At 50.6% G+C, this 19,137-nt stretch overlaps 1 protein-coding gene across 12 annotated transcripts in view; it reads right to left on the bottom strand.

The window, feature by feature from the left end:
- The window catches only part of TRABD2B (TraB domain containing 2B), a 236,858-nt gene that overhangs the window by 34,951 nt on the left and 182,770 nt on the right, over nt 1-19,137 (bottom strand). For 10 of the 12 annotated variants that reach the window (XM_017001262.3, XM_017001261.3, NM_001194986.2 and 7 more), the window contains one exon: nt 5,995-6,141. The exons of the other annotated variants lie outside the window; for them this stretch is intronic. In XM_017001262.3, the coding sequence (XP_016856751.1) occupies nt 5,995-6,141 (147 nt within the window). The remainder of the gene's footprint in view (nt 1-5,994; nt 6,142-19,137) is intronic. 12 annotated transcript variants of the gene reach the window in all.

A 19,137-nucleotide genomic window follows, 5' to 3' on the forward strand; every position in this document is an offset into this window, starting at 1 on the left:
TCAGTTGAGCTGCCTGGTACAGCGGGAAGGCCACTGAGTACAAGAGTAGGCTCACCCCCTGTTCTGATGCTGCGTGGCACCGGGCAAGTTACTTAACTTTTCCGAGTCCCAGCTTTGTCACTTGTAAGATGAAACTGATGATATTGTGGGGATTCAATAAGAGGATGGGGGCTGTCATGGGCTACATTCAGCACATGCCACCCTACAGAGATGAGAGAAAGGATCATCACTTTTGATTTTCCCAATGCCTGAGCCACCATCTGCTGCCACCACCAACTCCCCATCCCTGCACCACCACTTTCCAGGACATAATGCAAATGCCTCCATCCCTTTTTGAATACCTCAACCCCAGGACCATGGCTTCCCCCAAGTTGGCTTGCTCAACAACCTAGCTTGGAGCTGCCTAGGTGTTTTGCCATCACCCCACACTATACGCCCAGCCACATGGCCTGGGAACAGCATTAACAGGGTCTTGAACTAGGCAGAGAGCTTCCTGGGTTCAGGGACAGAGCTTTTGTCATTCCTGGCCCCCAACAGCCGGCACAAAGAAGGTACCCAGATTCCTTGAACCTTGAACTTAAAGTTGTGCTGTCCCTTTCTGACCACAGTTGCCCCACTGTGTTCTTCTATTCCCAACATTTTGTCTTTCCAACCTGGATAACAGGCCCAGGTGCTCCTGCACTGTCTCCTCCAATATGCACATGGGGCTGTTGAGGAAATTGAGGCAGGGAATCAGAATATACTCTCTCTTTCCTCACAACCTGTCAGTGTCATTCCAACCTCCAAGCTCCTGCTCACAGGATGGTTTCCACCTGGTGTCCCCTCTTCCACTTCTCTATCTTCACCTACCCAGGCCCAAAGCACAAGACACCAGACCTTGCAAACTGAAGGGTGAGGTGGATGGAGAGCCTGGCATGAAGAGGCTAATTTTCTACAGGATTAAGCCCCTAAATGGCCCTGCAGCCCAGCCACATGGCTTCTAGAGCCACTGCAGTGTTGTCAACACTCCTTCTGAGGAAAATGGAGTCAATGGAGGCTGAGCCCTAAGGGACTCTAAGGAGGCTAGGATATTTGCCTCTGCTATCTGCTGGCCAAGGCCTAGTGTGTTCCCCAGAGTGAGAGGAGAGGTAAAGGTACATGCACCATGGGGCTTCTCTGCCAGAAAGGCCTGACTCACCGCTCTGGGATGAACAAGACAATAATATGGCTGATGTCCCCTAACCTTGTGCAGTGCGCAACCTGGATAGCTATAGACAGCAGTGTTGCTAGTGCCCAATCAGAGTTGGCAATGGAATTCTTACTTCCCTACATACCCCCTTTGAAAGCGATAATTGGAAACCCTAACACAACAGGGCATGCTTGAACTTGATGCAGCTATGGGAACACTGACGGCTTCTGAACGGGGAGAAGCACAGAAAGCCCATGACTCAGAGGAGTTATTTCTGGAAATGTGACCCTCACAGGTTCTACCGTTCTTTAGGTATGGAAAATAATGTGAAAACTATGTTGTACCACCAAATAAATATTTGTCTAATCAGTGAATGAATGAGTGAGCTGAGGGGCCTTAGAAGTATGGGGCTATGAATGTAGGGCCTGAAGTCAGACAGCCAGGACAACTTGGGTTGGAATCCCTCTTTTGCAGCTTACTAGCTGAGTGGTCTCTCTAGAACCAGAAAGTGACTTGGCCTCTCTAAGACTAAGTTTCCAAATTGGTAACATGGGGGTAACACACATTATTGTAGGGATTAAACAAGATGTGTTTTGGAAAGTGCTTACTGAGCACTGTGCCTGGCACAAAGGAAGTCCTGAATCAATGTCAGCTATTACACAACTGGCCTGGGGATGGAGCTGGCTTCATCACTTTTCCCAGTGAAGGGTGGCTTTGGGCACAGGGTAAGGATGAAGATGACAAATAAATGGCTCTGAACCATTGGAGAGTACCATGAAGGCAGCAGTCCACTTCCCCTCTCCTTCCAAGGGTCCCTGGAACCTGAACACGGGTCCAGCCCCTCCTCCTATGCTTCCTGACCACAAATGTGCATGTACACAAAGATGATTCTCCATTTGTTAATTGGGGAGTCAAAAAAAATTAACAAGGACAAGAACCCAAAAGTGAAAGTTTAAAGCCATGAAGGAAACTGGGCTAGCTCCCCAGGCTCCAGGGGCTGGCCAGCCGCTGGCCAGCATTCTCTGCATGTTTCATGCTGATGGGCCTTGGCTCCTTGCCAAGGATGAGTTCTGGGTTTGGGCCACGGCTGGGATGGAAGCAAATTAATGATGTCATTAGACTTGTTGGGGGCCTTAAATCTTCTATGACAAGTTTAAGTGCAGGATGCACAATGACATTTTAAAGAGGACATGTGAGGTCTCCAGGGATGGGGTGATGAGGTGATTGGTTGGACAGGGCTGGGGTGGGGCTGTGGGGGATGAGTTCAGTGTAGTCTTCCCTGACCCATGAACCATGTCAGGTCTAATAGTCAAATGCTCAGGTCTGCTGACACCACCTATCTAAACTCTGCACCCCTTCCCTGTAGCCCATCCATCCAACAGACACCCTGTGGGAAATTCCATGAGCCGGGCCCTGTGTTGGGCTAGGGGGCCTGAGAGCTTCCTCAGACTGGGTCTGCTCCTCTTGATGAGGGTCACAGACTGATGGGGGAGTCACATATGCGCACAAGAACACTGATGGATATGCGCTTTGAGAGGACAACGAGGAATGTGTGAGCCCAGAGGAGGCACCTAATAGGGTAACTACGTGTCTTGGTTTGACCAGAACAGTCCAGGTCGATGGCTAGAGGAGATTGCTCCATGCCTGTTAATTATCTTGATCCTCAATTGTATCTGACTCTCAAAATTATCTGGGTTTGGACAATAAATGCATGCAGCAACTCTACACCTAAGGCAGTCTTGAGGCTCAGGCCAGGCTTCCAAGGGGAAGGCCTTTGGATCACCCTGCTGTTGCTAGGCACAGACAGTGCCAGTGGCCTGGGGGCTGCAGAGGCCAGGGATGCAGCCATTGCTGCAGGTGGGGACAGTGGAGCCAGGATGCAGGCCAAGGATGAGGTGCCCCTGGCCCCTTTCCCAGTGTTATCCACCCAGGCCTGCACCTGTCCTGCCCTGGCCTCCAGATGTTGCTTCCTCATCCTCCACATTATAGCCAGAGGCATCTTTCTGACCACATTGCTCTCCAGCTTGCGCTCTCCACCCCTCAGCATCCCCTCTTTACCCCCATCTAGGGGACCCTACTGCCAAGCCTGGTTCTCGTATCACTGTCTCCCTAAAGCCTTCAGGCAAAGGCACTGTGGCCCCACAGCCTCCGTATCCTCAGTGCCCTGCAGACTTTGAGGCCCCCAGCTACAGACACAGCCCCACCTCCAACAGATCCTCATGGGAACTGGATTCAGCCTTGCTACCCTGACACCAGGCTTTTCTGCACCTTGGGGTAGGGTTGCCTAGCCCCTCCTCAAGCGACTAGATTCTATCTGTGCATCCTTGGGGCAGCCTGGGTTGCTCTTCGAATCCAGGTGGCCCAATCCACCTACCTTCTGTCCCACTTCAAGTACGGGAACTGTTGGGAGACCTCTGAGGCAGTTCCACTTGCCAAAGGCAAATCAGTGGTCTGGACCCAAGCTCAAAGAAAATCTGAGCTTGCCTTCTCCTGAGGTCACCTCATGCCTCCGTTTCTCAGCTTAGGGTCAGCCACAGTCTGGCCAGCACCCTGTCCTGCACACTCCCGCCCTCCTGGCCACATCATGGCCAGACCATCCTAAGTCATGACCAGGGTCTCCTTTGCCACAGAGCTCCCTGGCTGCTCAGGACTCACGGGGGTCTCCCTCAGCAGATGAAGCAGGGTGGGCCTGGCCACAAAGGGGGTCACTCGTAGGTGAGATTCCTAGGAGCCTCGTGGTGTCAGGGTGCTTCTCTCCACCCTCACTTCTCTGCCACTGAGTCAGAGCTCTCGGAATCCTGAGTGTCCTGCAGCAAAGCCTCCAGTTCTTTTCTCTTTCATTCTCTATGCTGCTGCAAGGATGCCACATGCCTACATTTGCTCGGGTGACAGTCACTCACTGCCATGTGCTCTGTGCCAGGCCTAAGCTGGGCAACGGGGACCAAGATAGGCAGCACACCATCACCCTCAGGAGCTCCTGGTCGTGTGGGGGCAAGTACTGATGGAACACCATGGCCCGGCCCGGTCTGTCTGCAGGCTATACTCTCAGCACCCCTCTCCGGCTCACTGGTGCATGGTTTCCTCTGCTGGAATATTATTCCTCCCCTTGTCTATGGCCAACTCAGGTTCTTCCATGCCCTCTCATCTTGCAAAAATCTTTCCTTCTCTCCCCAGTCCCAGGCCCTACCCACAAGCCCATCTAAATCAGCCGTTCCTTCCACAGGCTCCAAATGCTTCCTCCACTCCATCCTCATAGCAAGGATCACACTTTGGTGCAATTCATTCTCGAATGTCCCCATCTTCCCTATGTGACTGTAAGCCCCTTTTCATAGCACTGTGTCTAGCATTTATAAACTATTTCATTCCTTCCTTCCTTCCTTCCTTCCTTCATTCATTCATTCAGCAAATGTTTACTGAGTCCAGCTCTGGGCCAGGGGCTGCTCCAGCCAGTTGAGATAAATCCATGAATAAAACAGACCGAACTCCCTGCCCTCATGGAGCTTATGATCTAGTAGGGAGAGCAACCAATAAACAGTCACTAATCAATGAATCAAGTAGATAGTGTGTTAGAGGATGGCAAAGGCCATGGGGAAAAAAAGTGGAGCATAATAAAGAGGGTGAGAGTGTGGTCATGCAGGCCAGGTTGCAATTCTGAGTCAGGTGGTTGGGGCCAGCCTCACTGAGATGACGAGATTTTAGTTAAATGCTGCAGGCAGAGAGGGAGTGAGCCATGGTCATACCTGGGAGAGGCATTCGGCAGAGGGAGCAGCCAGTGCAAAGGCAGAAGCTGGTGAGTTGGGTTCGCACACCAGCAAGAAGGCCCATGCAGCCCAAGTGGTGTGCAGGAGGGGAGAGCAGAAAGTGACAGGGTAGGGAGAGAGCATGGGGGCCATGCAGGCCACTGTAGAGACTCTGGCTTTCACCTTGATAAAAATGGGAAGTCCACGCAATGTCCTGAGCAGGGAAGTGGTGTGTTCTGCCTAATTCAACTGCTTCTTGAATGAACGGGTATTCAAGCACAATGACAGAGGAGGCACAAGGCCCTAGAGGTGCCTGGGAGAATGCCTGACCCTATCCAGGGGCTCAGGAAGGTTTCTCAGGAGGTGACATATGACTATGACCAAGTGGGAGGAACCCTGGAGGAGAAAGGAGCCTGAACAAAGGCCCAGAAGCTTGAAAAGACAAGGTACAATGGAAGAGTTGCAAGTTCCACAGTCTGCAGAGCAAGGTCTGTAGGGTGGAGGACCTGGGCTGTGACAAGGCCAGCAGAGGGCACGTTGTAAGGTCCTTGAATGCTGGAGGAAGCATCTTGGAATTCACCATGAGAGCAATGAATGGGGAGGCATGGTGGAGTCTGAGCAGGGGTGAGCCATGCTCAGCCCCTTGGGTTCTACTTGCTGCCCGACCAGCTGGTGACAATCTTTCCTCTGAGACTCAAATCAAAGCAGAATGCTCTGGGCTGGACTCAAGTCCAAGCTCTGAGTAACTGTGGGCTTTTCCTTCCCTGGAACTTAATTTCCCCAGATGTAGAACTGAACCTCTGAGGCCTCCCTGGTCTTACAAGCTAAGTTTCCAGAGTCCTAGGCCCCAGAGCCACATAGATCTGGCTCAAGTTGCTGCTCTTGGTAACTTAAAACTCAACAACTCATAAGCTGTGTTGCCTTGGACAAATCTCTTCTCATCTCTGAGCCTCAATTTCCCCACCTATAAAAGGGGAATAACGATAGCTCCTTCTTGCCATGGCTGGAGAGAAGATTACCTATGCCTGGCACGTCATAGGGATCTAATAAATGCCAGGTATCCAGGTCTTTGGAGAGGAGCCTCACCTGGGATGTGTCGTGGTTGAAGATGACTGCGCTGAGGTCTCCGCAGTTGTAGTGCTTGATGAGGTCCTCCGTGGTGTAGGAGGCCTGCAGGCTCCCGGCCCGCACACTCTCCTGCTGCAGCAGGGTTTGGTTCAGGGCAAACAGCACCTGGGCCGAGGAAAGAGAGAGGAATGAGGGCTGTGCTCAGGGACCCTGGCTGAGCTCTAGGACTGACCCTCCTCCCTCTGGACTTCAGAGCAACAGGCCTGAAACAGAGAAGGTGTGTGGGGCTGGCACCAGCTGGCTCAGGCTGTGTGTTTCCAGTTTCTGCTCCTGCCTCATGTCTCTGAGCACGTTCAGCCTGCTCTCACCTCCAGCCCTTTGCCCACACAGGTCCCCATTCCTGCTCTGGGTCTCAACATCTTATTAAAGAAGCAGCAAAATGAGAACCCAACTTGTGTCTGGGTTTCGGAATGATGGGTGAGTTTTTCTTTTGACTCCTTTGTGTTCCTGTGCTTAAAAGTGCATGAATTAATTTTGTAATCAAGAGCATCCTGCAAACAAAGCAACAGGACAAGAACAAAAGGCCCGGTTGGATGTCAAGGCCCAACCTAAAGGCCGCCTACCCTGGAAGCCTTCCTCACCCAGGGAAAGGCCTGAGGAGCTCGGTCCTGAACATCTGCTCTATCCTTGTATTCAGCATGCATGTCCTCAAGCTCCTCTGTCCTCGGGGCCACCGTGCCTGTGCCCAGCCAGATCTGTGGGCATCAGGATCACTGTGGGCATCAGGATCACTGACAAAATGTCAGATGCCCAGATCTCGCCCTCTGGGATCAGAGGCTCTGTATTTTTAACAGGATCCCTGCACACTTCCTAAGCAGTCTGACCGTCTCTGGCATTTGAGGATCGTGGCTCTAATGGAACACAACCTGCTCATTTTAGATGGGGACACTGAGGCCCAGGGAAGGGAAGGGAAGGGAGGGACCTGCTCAATTCACATAGCTAGGCCTGGAGCTAGTTTTAGGAGACAGAGTATCCCAGACTCCTTTGTTCAACAGAAGGGAGGAGGCTGATCATTATTTGGGCTATTTAACACAGATAAAGAGAAAAACTTGGTCCCTGTACAGAAAGTCAGGAGGCTGTCTCAGGGAACTGGTCCCTGCTGTTAGCCCAGCCTAGCCCTCAGTCTTTAGGCCCTGCTCATTCTGTCTGCACAATGCCTTGGACACCAAGTTCCCAGCCTTGTCACCCACCTCAATTCAGGCCCCAGCATTTCTCGTTGAGTCCCCTGCACCAGTCCCGCCCATCTCCGGGCACACCCCCTCCCTTCTCTTCTATACCATAGTTATCTGTCATGGTCCTCTTTTAAATGCACAAATCTGATGATTTCTCTCTCTCTCTTTTGCTCAAAACGTTCACAGGTCCCTCCCACCTGCAGGCTAAAGGGCTAGCTCTTGAGTAGAGCCTCCAAGGCAGTAACCTGGACCCTGCTATGGTCAATAACCTCATTTCTTACATGGCTTTCATGCCTCCAAATACTAAAATACTCAGCATTCCTTCAAGCAAAAAAAAAAAAATCTTCTGCCTTTGTGCCTCTGTAAATGCTGTTCCATAGGGAAATCCGGCTCCCTCGTCTCCACTTGCAAACTCAGACTTAGCTGTCCAGACTCTCCTCGGCTGTCTCCTCCAGGAAGCTTCTCTGACCACCTGGGGACTGGGTTAGGCCCCTCACTGGGGGTCCCACAGCCTCCATGGGTGGCAGACTGATAGATTAATGGCCCTAAACCTTAGCCCCTCCCTGTATTCATGCCCTTTTCCATGGAACTTTGTAGCTCCTTTCCAGTCTGACCCTGGACATCCTTCAGCCAAGGGGATGCTAGTAACCATTATAAATTCAGGCCTGAAAAGTAGTTACGTGCTGCTGATGCTGCTGCTGCTGTCTGCACCTCTGCCACTGCCCTGAGAACAATCCAGGCTAGACTGCTGGATGATGAGAGACATGTGGCGCAGAGCCGTCCAGCGAAGGCCATCCTCCACCAAGAATAGCCAACAGCCTGCCAATCCCCATACATGCAAACTAGCCCAGCCAAGATCAGCAGAGACTATTCACAATTGTCCCCAGATGCATGAGTGGAAAACTCTTATTGTTATTGTTACACAGCATAGTTGTGGTGATAGATACACCATGCTTCCTTCCACTACGGAGTGAACATTATATTGTATTTGCTGTTTAGCTACCAGCCTCCCACATTAGGCTATGAGCTCCTTCAAGACAGGAATTGTGTCGTGTTCATTTTTGAATTTGCAGCACTCAGCACTGTGCCTGGTGAAGATAAAGTGTCACTTCATTGTTTCTTTATTTCTTTGACACTGCTATGGTCACTTCATAGTTCAAGGCTGCTCATTGAGTCCTTAAATCTAGCCCCTACAACTTCTGCACTCTGCATTTTGAGGCATGCCACCACCTTGTGGCAGAAGGTCCCACCAAGTGGCAGCAGTCACTTGGTTCAAGAACACATAATCTGACCAGAAAAGCTCATAAAATAGGTGTGCACAGCCAGGCCAAAGTACTAACATAGGCAACAGGGCCAAGCGTGTGCTCATGAGATCACCTCCCTCCCCTCTCATTTTGTTCATGGCTGGGCAGGAGCGCTAGATTGCACTGGATGCAGCCCAGGCTGCTCCACCTAATGAGCTGGCTGGAGATGAGGTCAGCCCCCACCACCCCCTACCCAAAACTCCACCTCTGGGCCTTCTCCAGGCCTCTAGGCTCTGGCCGCCACCATTGAAATCTGATATGTAGCCATCTGGTGCAGGGTGTCGATGGCAGCATGGTGGCTGGGGATGGATCACAGGAGGCAGTGGCCCTGTTGCTGTGGGCATTGCTAAGGCAACAGGCACTTCCTCCCACACGGCACATGCCTCGGATGAAAGTGTCCATGTCGAGTTGATCCGCTCTCCTTCCCTGGGGGCCTGGGACACAGGCTTCCCGTGACTACACTCGGCCACTGCACACACCTGCTCCCTTGTTTCTCGGCGTCGGCTTGGCCAAGACACCACCTGACCTGTGGTGAGGTCATCGGCCCAGGCACCCAGAAGAGCTGACTGGAGGAGAAATGTCTCCCCAGGACCTTGCTCGACTCACAGAGTTGCTTCTGCAATCATGCAACCATCACAGAGCTGGAAGGTGTTCCAGTGAATTTAGTATGTTATAATCTGTGGGGTGCTAAAAACAGTCCTGGCATGTAGTAAGTGCTGGATAAGTGTTTGTTAAATAAAACTGAGAGGAAAATAGACCTAAAGCTTCCCAGATTGGAGCTGGAAGAGCCCTGGAGGTCATCTGGTCCAGAGGCTTTTCAGGCCTTTTAAAGCCATGTTCTTGCTGTTGTTTTCCAAAGGAATCTTACTTAGAACTCAAAATATGGAGAAGGTAAAAATGGAAACTTCCCTGGTTGATGTAAGGGAGGCAGGCGGGCGCCTGAAGTCTCACTAGCTCAATGTCTCCCTGCAGCAGGGACTTCTGCACCAAGGCCCTTCTGTGGAACCCACAGGTACCCTGGAGCCTAGTTTGAGAACCACTGATCTCATCCTGTGGCCTCCTCATATTAAAGAGGAGAGGAGGCTAGGGTCCAGAGCAGGCAGGATGGGGCTTGCCTAAGGCCACACAATGAGCTGTGGGCAGAGTGGACTCAACCCCAACTCTTAACTCCTGGTCCAGAACTCTGCAGTGCCCTGGACCACATGGCTGGATTTCCAGATGTCCACAGGCACAGCCCACATTCATCCACACACACTGCCACACCCATTTTTTTTTTTTTTAGAGCCTTGTGAAATAGCCAGGGAATATTTATTGTTAGTCTGTTACTAATAAGTCTGTTATTAATAGTCTATTACAAATATATAAAACAGAGGCCAGACCATTTATGAGGCCTTCCCATGTGTCACAGCAGGAGTGTGGTGGGGCCAGGACTGAAACCCAAGCCTATCATCCTGATTCTCCCTACCTCGGTGGGGTTTGGTGTCTCCCAAAGACCCCTGTCCTTCTTTTTCCTTAGACACTTATCTCACTGAATTGTCCCTGTTCTCTGCCTCTCTGTTTCCTGCTGAATCCCAATGTCTCCATTAGCAGACATTCAGGAAGCACTGCAAGAAGAGGTATGCTGATCCAGAATCATGCGCACTTTCCCTTACACCTCCTGCCCCGTACCATCATTTTGCAATTTATAAAGAAGTCTTCATCCATTCATTACCAGGATTACGATGTTTATTGAGCACTTACTATGTGTCAGGAACTTTCTAAACTCATGTTCATTTATTTAATCTTTACAGCAACTCTGAGGTAACTCTATTATTAGCTCCATTTAATTAAAAAAAAAAAACTGCAGCAAAGAGACATCAAATACCTTGCCAAAGGTGACAAAGCTGGAGAGGGATGGATCAGGCATTTGGGCCAGGCCTGGAATGTATCCTCCTAGTTAACCACTGTCCTGTAGGCCCTCCCTCTGCTCTCCCTGGAAGAGAGCCAAGAGGGATGTTGTCCGTAGTCAAAGATGGGAAACCAAAGAAGCAGAAGGGAGTGATGGGCACAAGGCCACACAGCTGGTAAAAGACAGGGCTGGGGTTTGAAATTACGTCTGGCACCGGACCAGGTTCTCACAACCAGGACTTCAGCGCGGTATGTGCTCCTTCACCAGCATCCTTGGTGCTTCCAACAGACAGAGGGAAGCTACATCCATTCATTCACAAACATTTACTTTCAGCTCCTCTCTGCAGGGATTTGAGATTAGTAGATTAATTGGACTTGGCTTCCATCTGTGCAGAGCTCATTTTAGAGGCAGATGTGCCAACTGGCCAGCACAGCAAGGGTGGTAAGTACACAGGCTTTATAATGAAGCGCCTGGCCCTGACTCCTGCCTCTCTTTCACTCACCCTGAATTCCCAAGCCTGGTGCTGCTCAGACTCGAGATGTCTTCTGCTCCTGGCCACCTTAGAATAACAAACCTTCTTTGTACATAGCCTCGGTGGCCCACTCTAGGATAATGTTTATGATAAGGCTTTGACATGGAATAACAAACATCGGGTGAAGGCTAGAGCTGCCTCTCTCACCCTGGATGGCTGTGTGGAGGCCCAGCCACCAGGAGCTCCAGAGCATCCTCTGTGGACTCCCCTCACCAACGCTGGCTGGACATGAAATGGCTTGTGGCATCTGCTGAATGTAGGCCCAGAATTTAAACACGTCTTCAAACGAGGAACTAGGAAGGAGTGAGGCAGGCGCCAGGAGGGTGGGAACAGGTTTATTGTTCCAGAGTAGTCCTGTAAACAGTCCTAGATGGGCTGGAATGGTAGACTTGAAGGCCTATGTTCACTTGATGGCCCAGCAATGGCACTGAGAAGGCAGCAGGACCCCCTTAGTCAAGAAGAGGGTTTAGAGTCAGGGTCCCTTGGGACAAGCCTGGCTCTCAGCTTGCAAGTCTGCTCACCCAACTCAAAGCCCAAGGGAATCACTGCAAAGGCCCCAATCCACTCAGCCATTCTTCCTGAGCACCAGGCATTGTTCTAGGTGCTGGGGAGTTAGCCAGGGACAAAACAGACTTTAAAAATCCCTGCCCTTACAGAGCTCACCTGCTAGAGGGGTAAAGTGAGAATACATAAATTATTAGTAAAAATACTAATATGCAGCATGTTGGACACACAACAATGGCTTCATTAAACTGGAAGTGAAGACTGCCACCCAGCCACATGGATTCCTCACACCTCTGAGTCAACAGGCAAAGAAGGGGTTACTATGCTGCCTGGAATGATTGATCCTGACTACCAAGGGGGAAATTAGATTGCCACCCCAGTGGAGGTGAGGAAGAGTGTTTCTGGAATGCAGGAGACCTTTTAGGGCATCTCTTAGTATTACCATACCCTGAGATTAAAGTCAATGGAAAACCACAACAACCCAATCCAGACAGGACTACTAATGGCCCAGACCATTCAACAATGAAGGCTTGGGTCATGCCGCCAGGTTAAGAACCATGAGCAGTTGAGGTTGTTGTTGAAAGCAAAGAGAATACAGAATGGGTAGTAGAAGAAGGTAGTCAGCAATACCAGCTATGATAACGTGACCAGTGACAGAGATGAGAACTGTAATTGTGATGAGAGTTCCTCCCTCTTTTGTTATTCATATTTGTGTGTGTGTGTGTCTGTGTGTGTGTTTCTATCTCAAATATCTTTGCTTTCTTCCCTCTCATCCCTTTATCATATAACATAAGATATATTGACTTATAGTATTTAGGTATTGTTAGCTTTACATCATATATTTAAGGTACAGGATATCAAGAAAAGTAAATGTCACCCAAAGACTTTGCATCCTCTTCTGGGGAAAGAAACAGAGCATTTTTGGTGTATGCAGGATAGCAGCATCATGTTAGGTGGAACTATGGCCATGTTATTGTCAGTATTTGGAGATTCAGTATGGTTGAAGATGTGTATGGGAGCCCAACTGAGAAGGGGTGAACTTGTGATGGTTAATTTTATGTGTCAACTTGGTTAGGCCACGCTATCCAGATATTTGGTCAAACTTTTTTTAGATGCTTCTGTGAAGGTACTTTTTAGATGAGACTCATATTTAAATCAGTAGGCTTTGAGATGCAGATTACCCTCCATAACGTAGGTGGGCTTCATCCGCTCAGTTGAAGGCCTTACTAGAAAAAATCTGACCCTGTCAAAGAACAAGGAATTCTACCAGCAGACTGCTTTTGGACTTGAACTGCAGCATCAACTCTTCCCTGGATTTCCAGCCCGCTGGCCTGCCCTGCAAATTTTAGACTTACCCACCAATGTCACCAACACTACGTGTGTGTGTGTGTGTGTGTATAAAATGTATATACCTATATATATATTTACAGAGATACATACACACATACATATATTCTATTGGTTCTGTTTTTCTGGAGAACTAATACAGAATATGTTATAGAAAAAAATAAAGCAGTAAATTGGATGGGGAGTGATGAAGGAAGGGGAACCAGCAGGTGCAAAGGCCCTGTACATATGTGAGGAGAAGCAGAGGCCAGCGTGGCTGAAGCTGAGCCAACAAGGAAGACAGTGATGGGAGACAAAGTTAGGGTTAATGAGCAAGCCCCCAATTACATGGAGCATTGTAAAGATGCTAGGAAACCATCTCACACCATAATTCTTTCAGATAAGGACTATTTCCATATGACAAACAAGGAAACTGAGCCCTTGAGGAGGGTAAAGTCACTTGCATAAGGTCCCACATTGAAGAACTAACGAGTTAGGATTCAAACTCAGGTCCAGCTGGCAGGTCTGGGTTCTTTCTGCTGTCCCTGGTCCTGGCCCACCAAGCCACCTCCACCCAACCAGCTGGTAGGAAGTACAGACAAGAAGAGACAAGTAGGGGCCAGTCTTTGAGGCCCAGGTTCTAAGCTGTCAGCTGGGAAGGAGAGGGGGTGTTAGAACTTTAGCTGTGGTGCACTGTCAGAGCTGCCATATGAGAATAAGAAAGAGGTCACCCTTGCTAAGGTAACCTCACCTGGTTCACGGCCTCCCCAGTCTGCTTTCACTGCCCAGGCTGACGAAACCTTGCTCCCTGCCCAGGATCCCCTCCTCTGCACGTCCTCTGTCTGGAAACCTCTCTCCATCTACCAGCTGACACTCCCCTTTGCACCTGGCTGTAGAGGCTCCTTCCCTCAGGAGAACTCTGAGCCATGGACTGCAAGGGTCCCCTGCTAAGTGCCCCCAAAGCACCTGACACTTCCCAGGCCAGGTACTCCCCATTTTATTACTAACACTCGTCCTTCCCGCTTGAGGATGAATGCTCTGAGGTCAGGCAAATCCTCTGTCTTCATCTTGACTATGTTCCCAGAGTGCAGTGCCCAATACACACATAGCAGCTGCTTGAGGAATGCTTGTAGGATGAATAAGTGAATGGAAAGCCAAGTGAGTCGCCCGTCACAGGACCCCCACCCTGAGCAGCTCCCTGCCAGAAGCCAGTACCTCCCATGGTGCAGAGCTGGGAGGAGCTGCGCCTGCTAGACCCTGGGCCCAAATCATCTCTCAGCACTGGGTAGGGGTGGAGGACAGCTCACTTCACAGGAAGCCTTCTCTGGCCTGGGGGACATTTCTTCAAAGGTTAGAGCTGCCAGGCTCTGGCTGAGATTTATTTATTTATTCTCCTTGCCCCATCGGCAGCACCAAAGCCATGCCGACTACCTCCCTGCTTCCTGTTCAGTATTCCGAGTCTCCTAGGCCTCCAGCACTGAATCCTGTCTCCGGACACTGGGCTACTGAGCAGCAGGCATCCAAATAAACACAAGATTTCCTGGAGCTGTGGACTGGCTCTGGGCTGGGAGCAGGGACCAGGGATCTAGTCACCACTGGACTCTTCACTACGAACCTCTGGGTGAATTATTTTCCTTCCCTGGGTCTTGGTTTACTCACCTTTGAAAAGAACTAATTTACACATTCATTGAACAAATATTTATTGAGCACTTATGTAGCAGATGCTGTTCCAGGCCCTGGAGGTATAGGAGTGAACACTGCAAATAAAGATCCCCACCCTAAAGGAGCTTTCATTCCAGTAGGAGAAAGCTGACCATAAAGAAACAAGAAGTAAACCATCCAGTATGTTGGAGAGTGATAGTTGCTATGGAGAAAATAAGGCAAAGAGGAATATAGGGTGTGTGTGTGTGTGTGCGCGCGCGCGCGCGCACGTGTGTGTGTTGGGAGTTGATATTTTATTATTATTATTTTAAATTTTTTTAGAGTTGGGGCCCTGCTCTGTTGTCGAGGCTGGAGTGCAGTGGTGCGATCTCTGCTTGCTGCAGCCTGAGCCTCCTGGACTCAAGTGATCCTCCTGCCTTAGCCTCCCAATAAACTAGGACAACAAGTTCGTGCCATCACCCCCTGCCCCCCCGCCACCCATTTTAGATAAGATGTCCAGGTAAGGTTGCAATGAGAGGTGACATTTGAGAAAAGGTCTGAAGGAGATGAGGGAGGGAGCCACGTGGGTATCTGAGAGAAGAGGGAACAGGCCCTGAGGCAGAGCAGGCCTGATAGGTTTGCAGCCAATGTGGCTGGAGATGCATGAGCAAGGGGGAGTGAGGCGACGGACCTGTGTTAGGCAGGGACCCAACAGCAACCAGGTGGCACACTGCCAGTGAGATGAGTTCCAAAGAAGTAATTTCAGCTGAAAGAGTGACTGAAGAGCAGTGATTGTCAGAATATTCACGAAGGTGTGGGCAGGCCATAGTGAGGCAGCAGGGAGTAGCTGCAGGGGGAAGCTTACCTGTCTCTAAACCTTTAGGGGAAGAGAGGGAGCAGGGATCTGGACCTGGCACAGCCACAGGCTTGAAAGGGAGCACAACTATGGCTGAGCATGGCCTGGACCACGGCAACGCCAGGGAAGGAGGAGAAGGGTGGGCGGAGGTAAGAAATATTCAACTCCCTTTCCCTTCTGCCTGCCCATCTCCTGCCAGGGAGGACAAGGCGGGAGCCTAGGTGATGCTGCGTCAGCTCATGCACAGGGTGGGGCAGGGAGAGCAGAAAGTGGATCTGGAGAGGAAAGTGGAGAATTTCCAGCACAAGGGAGAGAGGTCATAGTGAGGTGGGTGGTGGGCAGGGCCTGTAGAGCCCTGTGGTCTTTGAAGGCCTGTGGCTTCCTGCTGAGATGTGAAGTCACGGGGAGTCTGGGCAGAAGAACGTGGGGGGAGCTGTGTTGATAATGGAATCTAGGGAGGCAGGGGTGAAGCAGAGAGGTCCAACTGAAGATGAAGGCAGCTCTGCCCTCCTCCCTTCCCCTCACCACCCCCCCATCGCCCACCCAGTGCCCAGCCACAACCCAAGAAGCATGGACTTGGCCTCTAGTACAGCTGTCGCCTGCCCCGTGGACTTGGTGGTGCTGCCCACACCTCCATCTGCCCTGCAGTGGGCTGGCTGAGCTCTCAGTGCTTTCCTGGGCGGGCATCGGGAAGCCTGACTCACCCTAGCTTTCTTTCCTTCTTTTCTCTGAATGCTTAGTTTCTCCACCCAAAGACCACCCTTAAAGATCCTAGTGTTCCTCCTCTGTCCTTCAAGTCATGCCAGGAAATGCTCATAAATCCGGAGCCACCCACATGATGAGATTAGCATTCTGCTGGGTGGGTAGGGAGGCTGATGGTTGGGACTGGCTGGGGCTGGCCCAGAGGCTTGGGGTCTCCAGGAAAGGAGTTTATGTGGGGTCTGCCCTGTTGGAGGGCAAAGGGATCCCTTCGATTTTAGCTTTCAGTACAGCTAAGTCCAAGGGCGCTCAGAGATGCATATTCTGGTGCTGTGGGCTCTGACCCAGACCAGCTGTGAGACCCACTCTCTGGGCCACAGGGTTCCTCTGAAACAGGAGGGTGTGGGAGTACCTCCTAGCTCTGGAAGACCTATTCCAGGAGCCCAACATTTCAGAACATTACACCTACCATCCCATGATTTCAACAGTCTATGTTTCCAAATACTTTACATGTGGAGGCTCATTTATTTTTCTTCAGAGCCCTGTGAGGACAGCATTATTGAAAACCCAAGGCTCAGAGCAGTAAGTGGCATCCCTTGTTCCCCAGTGATGGGGCTCCATACCCAGGGCCTCCACTCTGCCCAGGCTTAATGCATCGAGCTCTCTCTGCTTCTGCTGTGAATCTTCTATTTCTATTCTTCAGTAACTACCTTTGATTTCATAAACCGAACACACTCTGTCCATTGAGGAAAATAATAAAACATACTGGAAAGTCCCAGAGAATCACCTACACCAACTTATCCTCAGTTATAAAGCTTTGAGCAACTTCAAGGTGATGGAGGAGATGACGGAAGGCACGGGTAATTATAATGTGGTAAGTTAATAATAAAACACAGAGGTTGGGGGCCTCAGAGGGGTTTCTGACCCAGCCTGGGAGTCGGTGAGGGAATCACAGGCTTCAGCTGGGCTGCAAAGATGAGTAGCGTTGAGAAGGAAAGTGTTCACCGCAGGCTGTGCATGGTGGCTCACATCTGTAATCCCAGCACTTTGCGGGGCTGAGGCAGGAGGATGGCCAGAAGTTTGAGACAGGCCTGGGAAACACAGGGAGACCCCATCTCTAAAAACAACAACAAAGAGCCAGATATGCTGTCACGTGCCTGTAGTCCCAGCTACGCAGCAGGCTAAGGTGAGAGGATTGCCTGAGGCCAGGAGTTCAAGGCTGCAGTGAGCTATGATCTTACCACTATACTGCAGCCTGGGCAACAGAGTGAGATTCTGTCTCAAAAGAAAAAACAAAGAAAGAAAGAAAAAGAAAGTGTTAACTGCAGAATGATATAGAGGAGCATGGTGTGTTTAAAGACGAGCCAGCAGTCAGGGCTGGAAGACATTCAGTAGTGGAGGGTCTTCAATCTCATGCCATGGACCATGCACTCAACCCAAGCAGCATACATGACCCTCTCTACCTGATCTTCAGACAGTAGACAAGTCACCTGTGGAGGCTGGAATGGATGAGAAATCAGAGATGAGCTGACTGAGGCCCATGGAGGGATAATGGTCTACACGGGAGGCGATCAGTCAGCGGTAGCCGTGGTTACCATTATCACTGTTATTGTTATTAAGCAGCTGCTTCCATTGGTTCGAGGCATGTCATTTTTATTTTCCCTGCTGTCTCAGACCTGCCCTGCTGACACAGCTGCCTAAACTTCAAAAGGCAAGTCTCCATTTTCATTTGCAAAATCAGTATGAAATTCCTAGAGGGCCCCTCTAATTCCTCTGGTCTGACCACATAGCAATTACCAATTTGCAGAGGAGGGAGGGGGTCTCACAGGCCCTCCAGCAGTATGGGGACCTCTGCTCTTCCTTAGTCCTGGGCAGTAGCCAAGGAGGACCGGATTGGAGGGGGCACCTCCAGGTGGCCAGGGATGGAAGGAGAGGAGTTGAGTCTGGGAGTGCTCAATACTGATGAGAGAAATTGTAACATGCCTCTCTGTTTGTCTGCTAAGCCACCGGTTACCAAGCCTTCAGAGACAAACAGCAGCTGAAAGGGCAGAGATCTGACCCAGTTTTAAACCTAGGACCTGCTACATGCAGGCTGTGTGAAGTTCTTATTCTGGCTCTTTGGGGCAGACTCTTCTCTTCTCTTTGCTGCGTCTCAGCTTACCCATCTGCCAAGTGGGGTGTATATTTGTCCTGCCTGCTTGAGACTAGCATTCTAAAAACCTTGTAAAGCAATATTGCCCTTCCTTAGGACACATACCCACACCCACACACACACTTTAAGAAATTTCTGTTCCCTAAGCACCGGGGTGGGTCCCAGTTGCAGGAGGTGTTCTGAAGAGAGGCTGGAATTCTGCATATGTGGATGAGATTTCCGTTCTCTCTTCAGTCTTCAGTATGGACTAGTGCTAGGCTCTGTGCTGGGTGCCAAGGCCATGGGACCAAATCAGTACCCTGTCCATCCTTGACAAGCTCAAAGGCAGGGTGGAGCAAGGGAGGAAGTTCCAGGAAGACTTGCGACAAGATCAAGTAACATTCATTAAGGCTGGGGCTAAGGGATGGACAAGGTGCTGTGAGAGTCCAGCAAATGTGGGGGACCACAAACAGGATTCCCAAAGGAGGTGGCTCTGGCTCTGCAGCAATCCCCTGTGGGGACACACATTTGCCACACAGAAGGGAAAGAAAAGGAATTCCAGGCAGTGTCAACAGCCCATGCAGAGGAATGGGGGCTGCGGTGAAGCTGGCATGTTCAGGGCCGTGTCAGTGACGGCAGGGGCTGGAGTGCAGCCTGTGGCTGGTGGAGGTGGACATGGGATAGACCCAGAGCAGGGAGTCGAGGTGGATCTGGAGCTCAGACTTTACTCTACGGACAATGGGATGCCACTGAATTTATTAAGGAGGGAGTGATCATCAGGCTTTCTCTTTAGAAGCTGCCCCTGGCTGCTGTGTGGAGAAAGGCTTTGAGGACACTGACTGTAGCAGGAGACATTCTTGGCTCTGGACAAGGAGAGGTGAGAAGGCCCCACTTGGGCCCCAGGGGCTTTGGGGAGGCATGGAGGAAGGGAGGGGCAGATTAGAATTCCAAATCTTTCCTGGCTTGCATGTTTTAGAACTCTCCAACTCAGGGCTCTGAGGCTTTCCTATTGCCCATTACTGCCCCCGCTCTCCTTCCCCGACTTTTG

This window comes from Homo sapiens, chromosome 1 (assembly GCF_000001405.40).
Source record: "Homo sapiens chromosome 1, GRCh38.p14 Primary Assembly".
In the NCBI taxonomy this organism is placed as follows: Eukaryota; Metazoa; Chordata; class Mammalia; order Primates; family Hominidae; genus Homo; species Homo sapiens.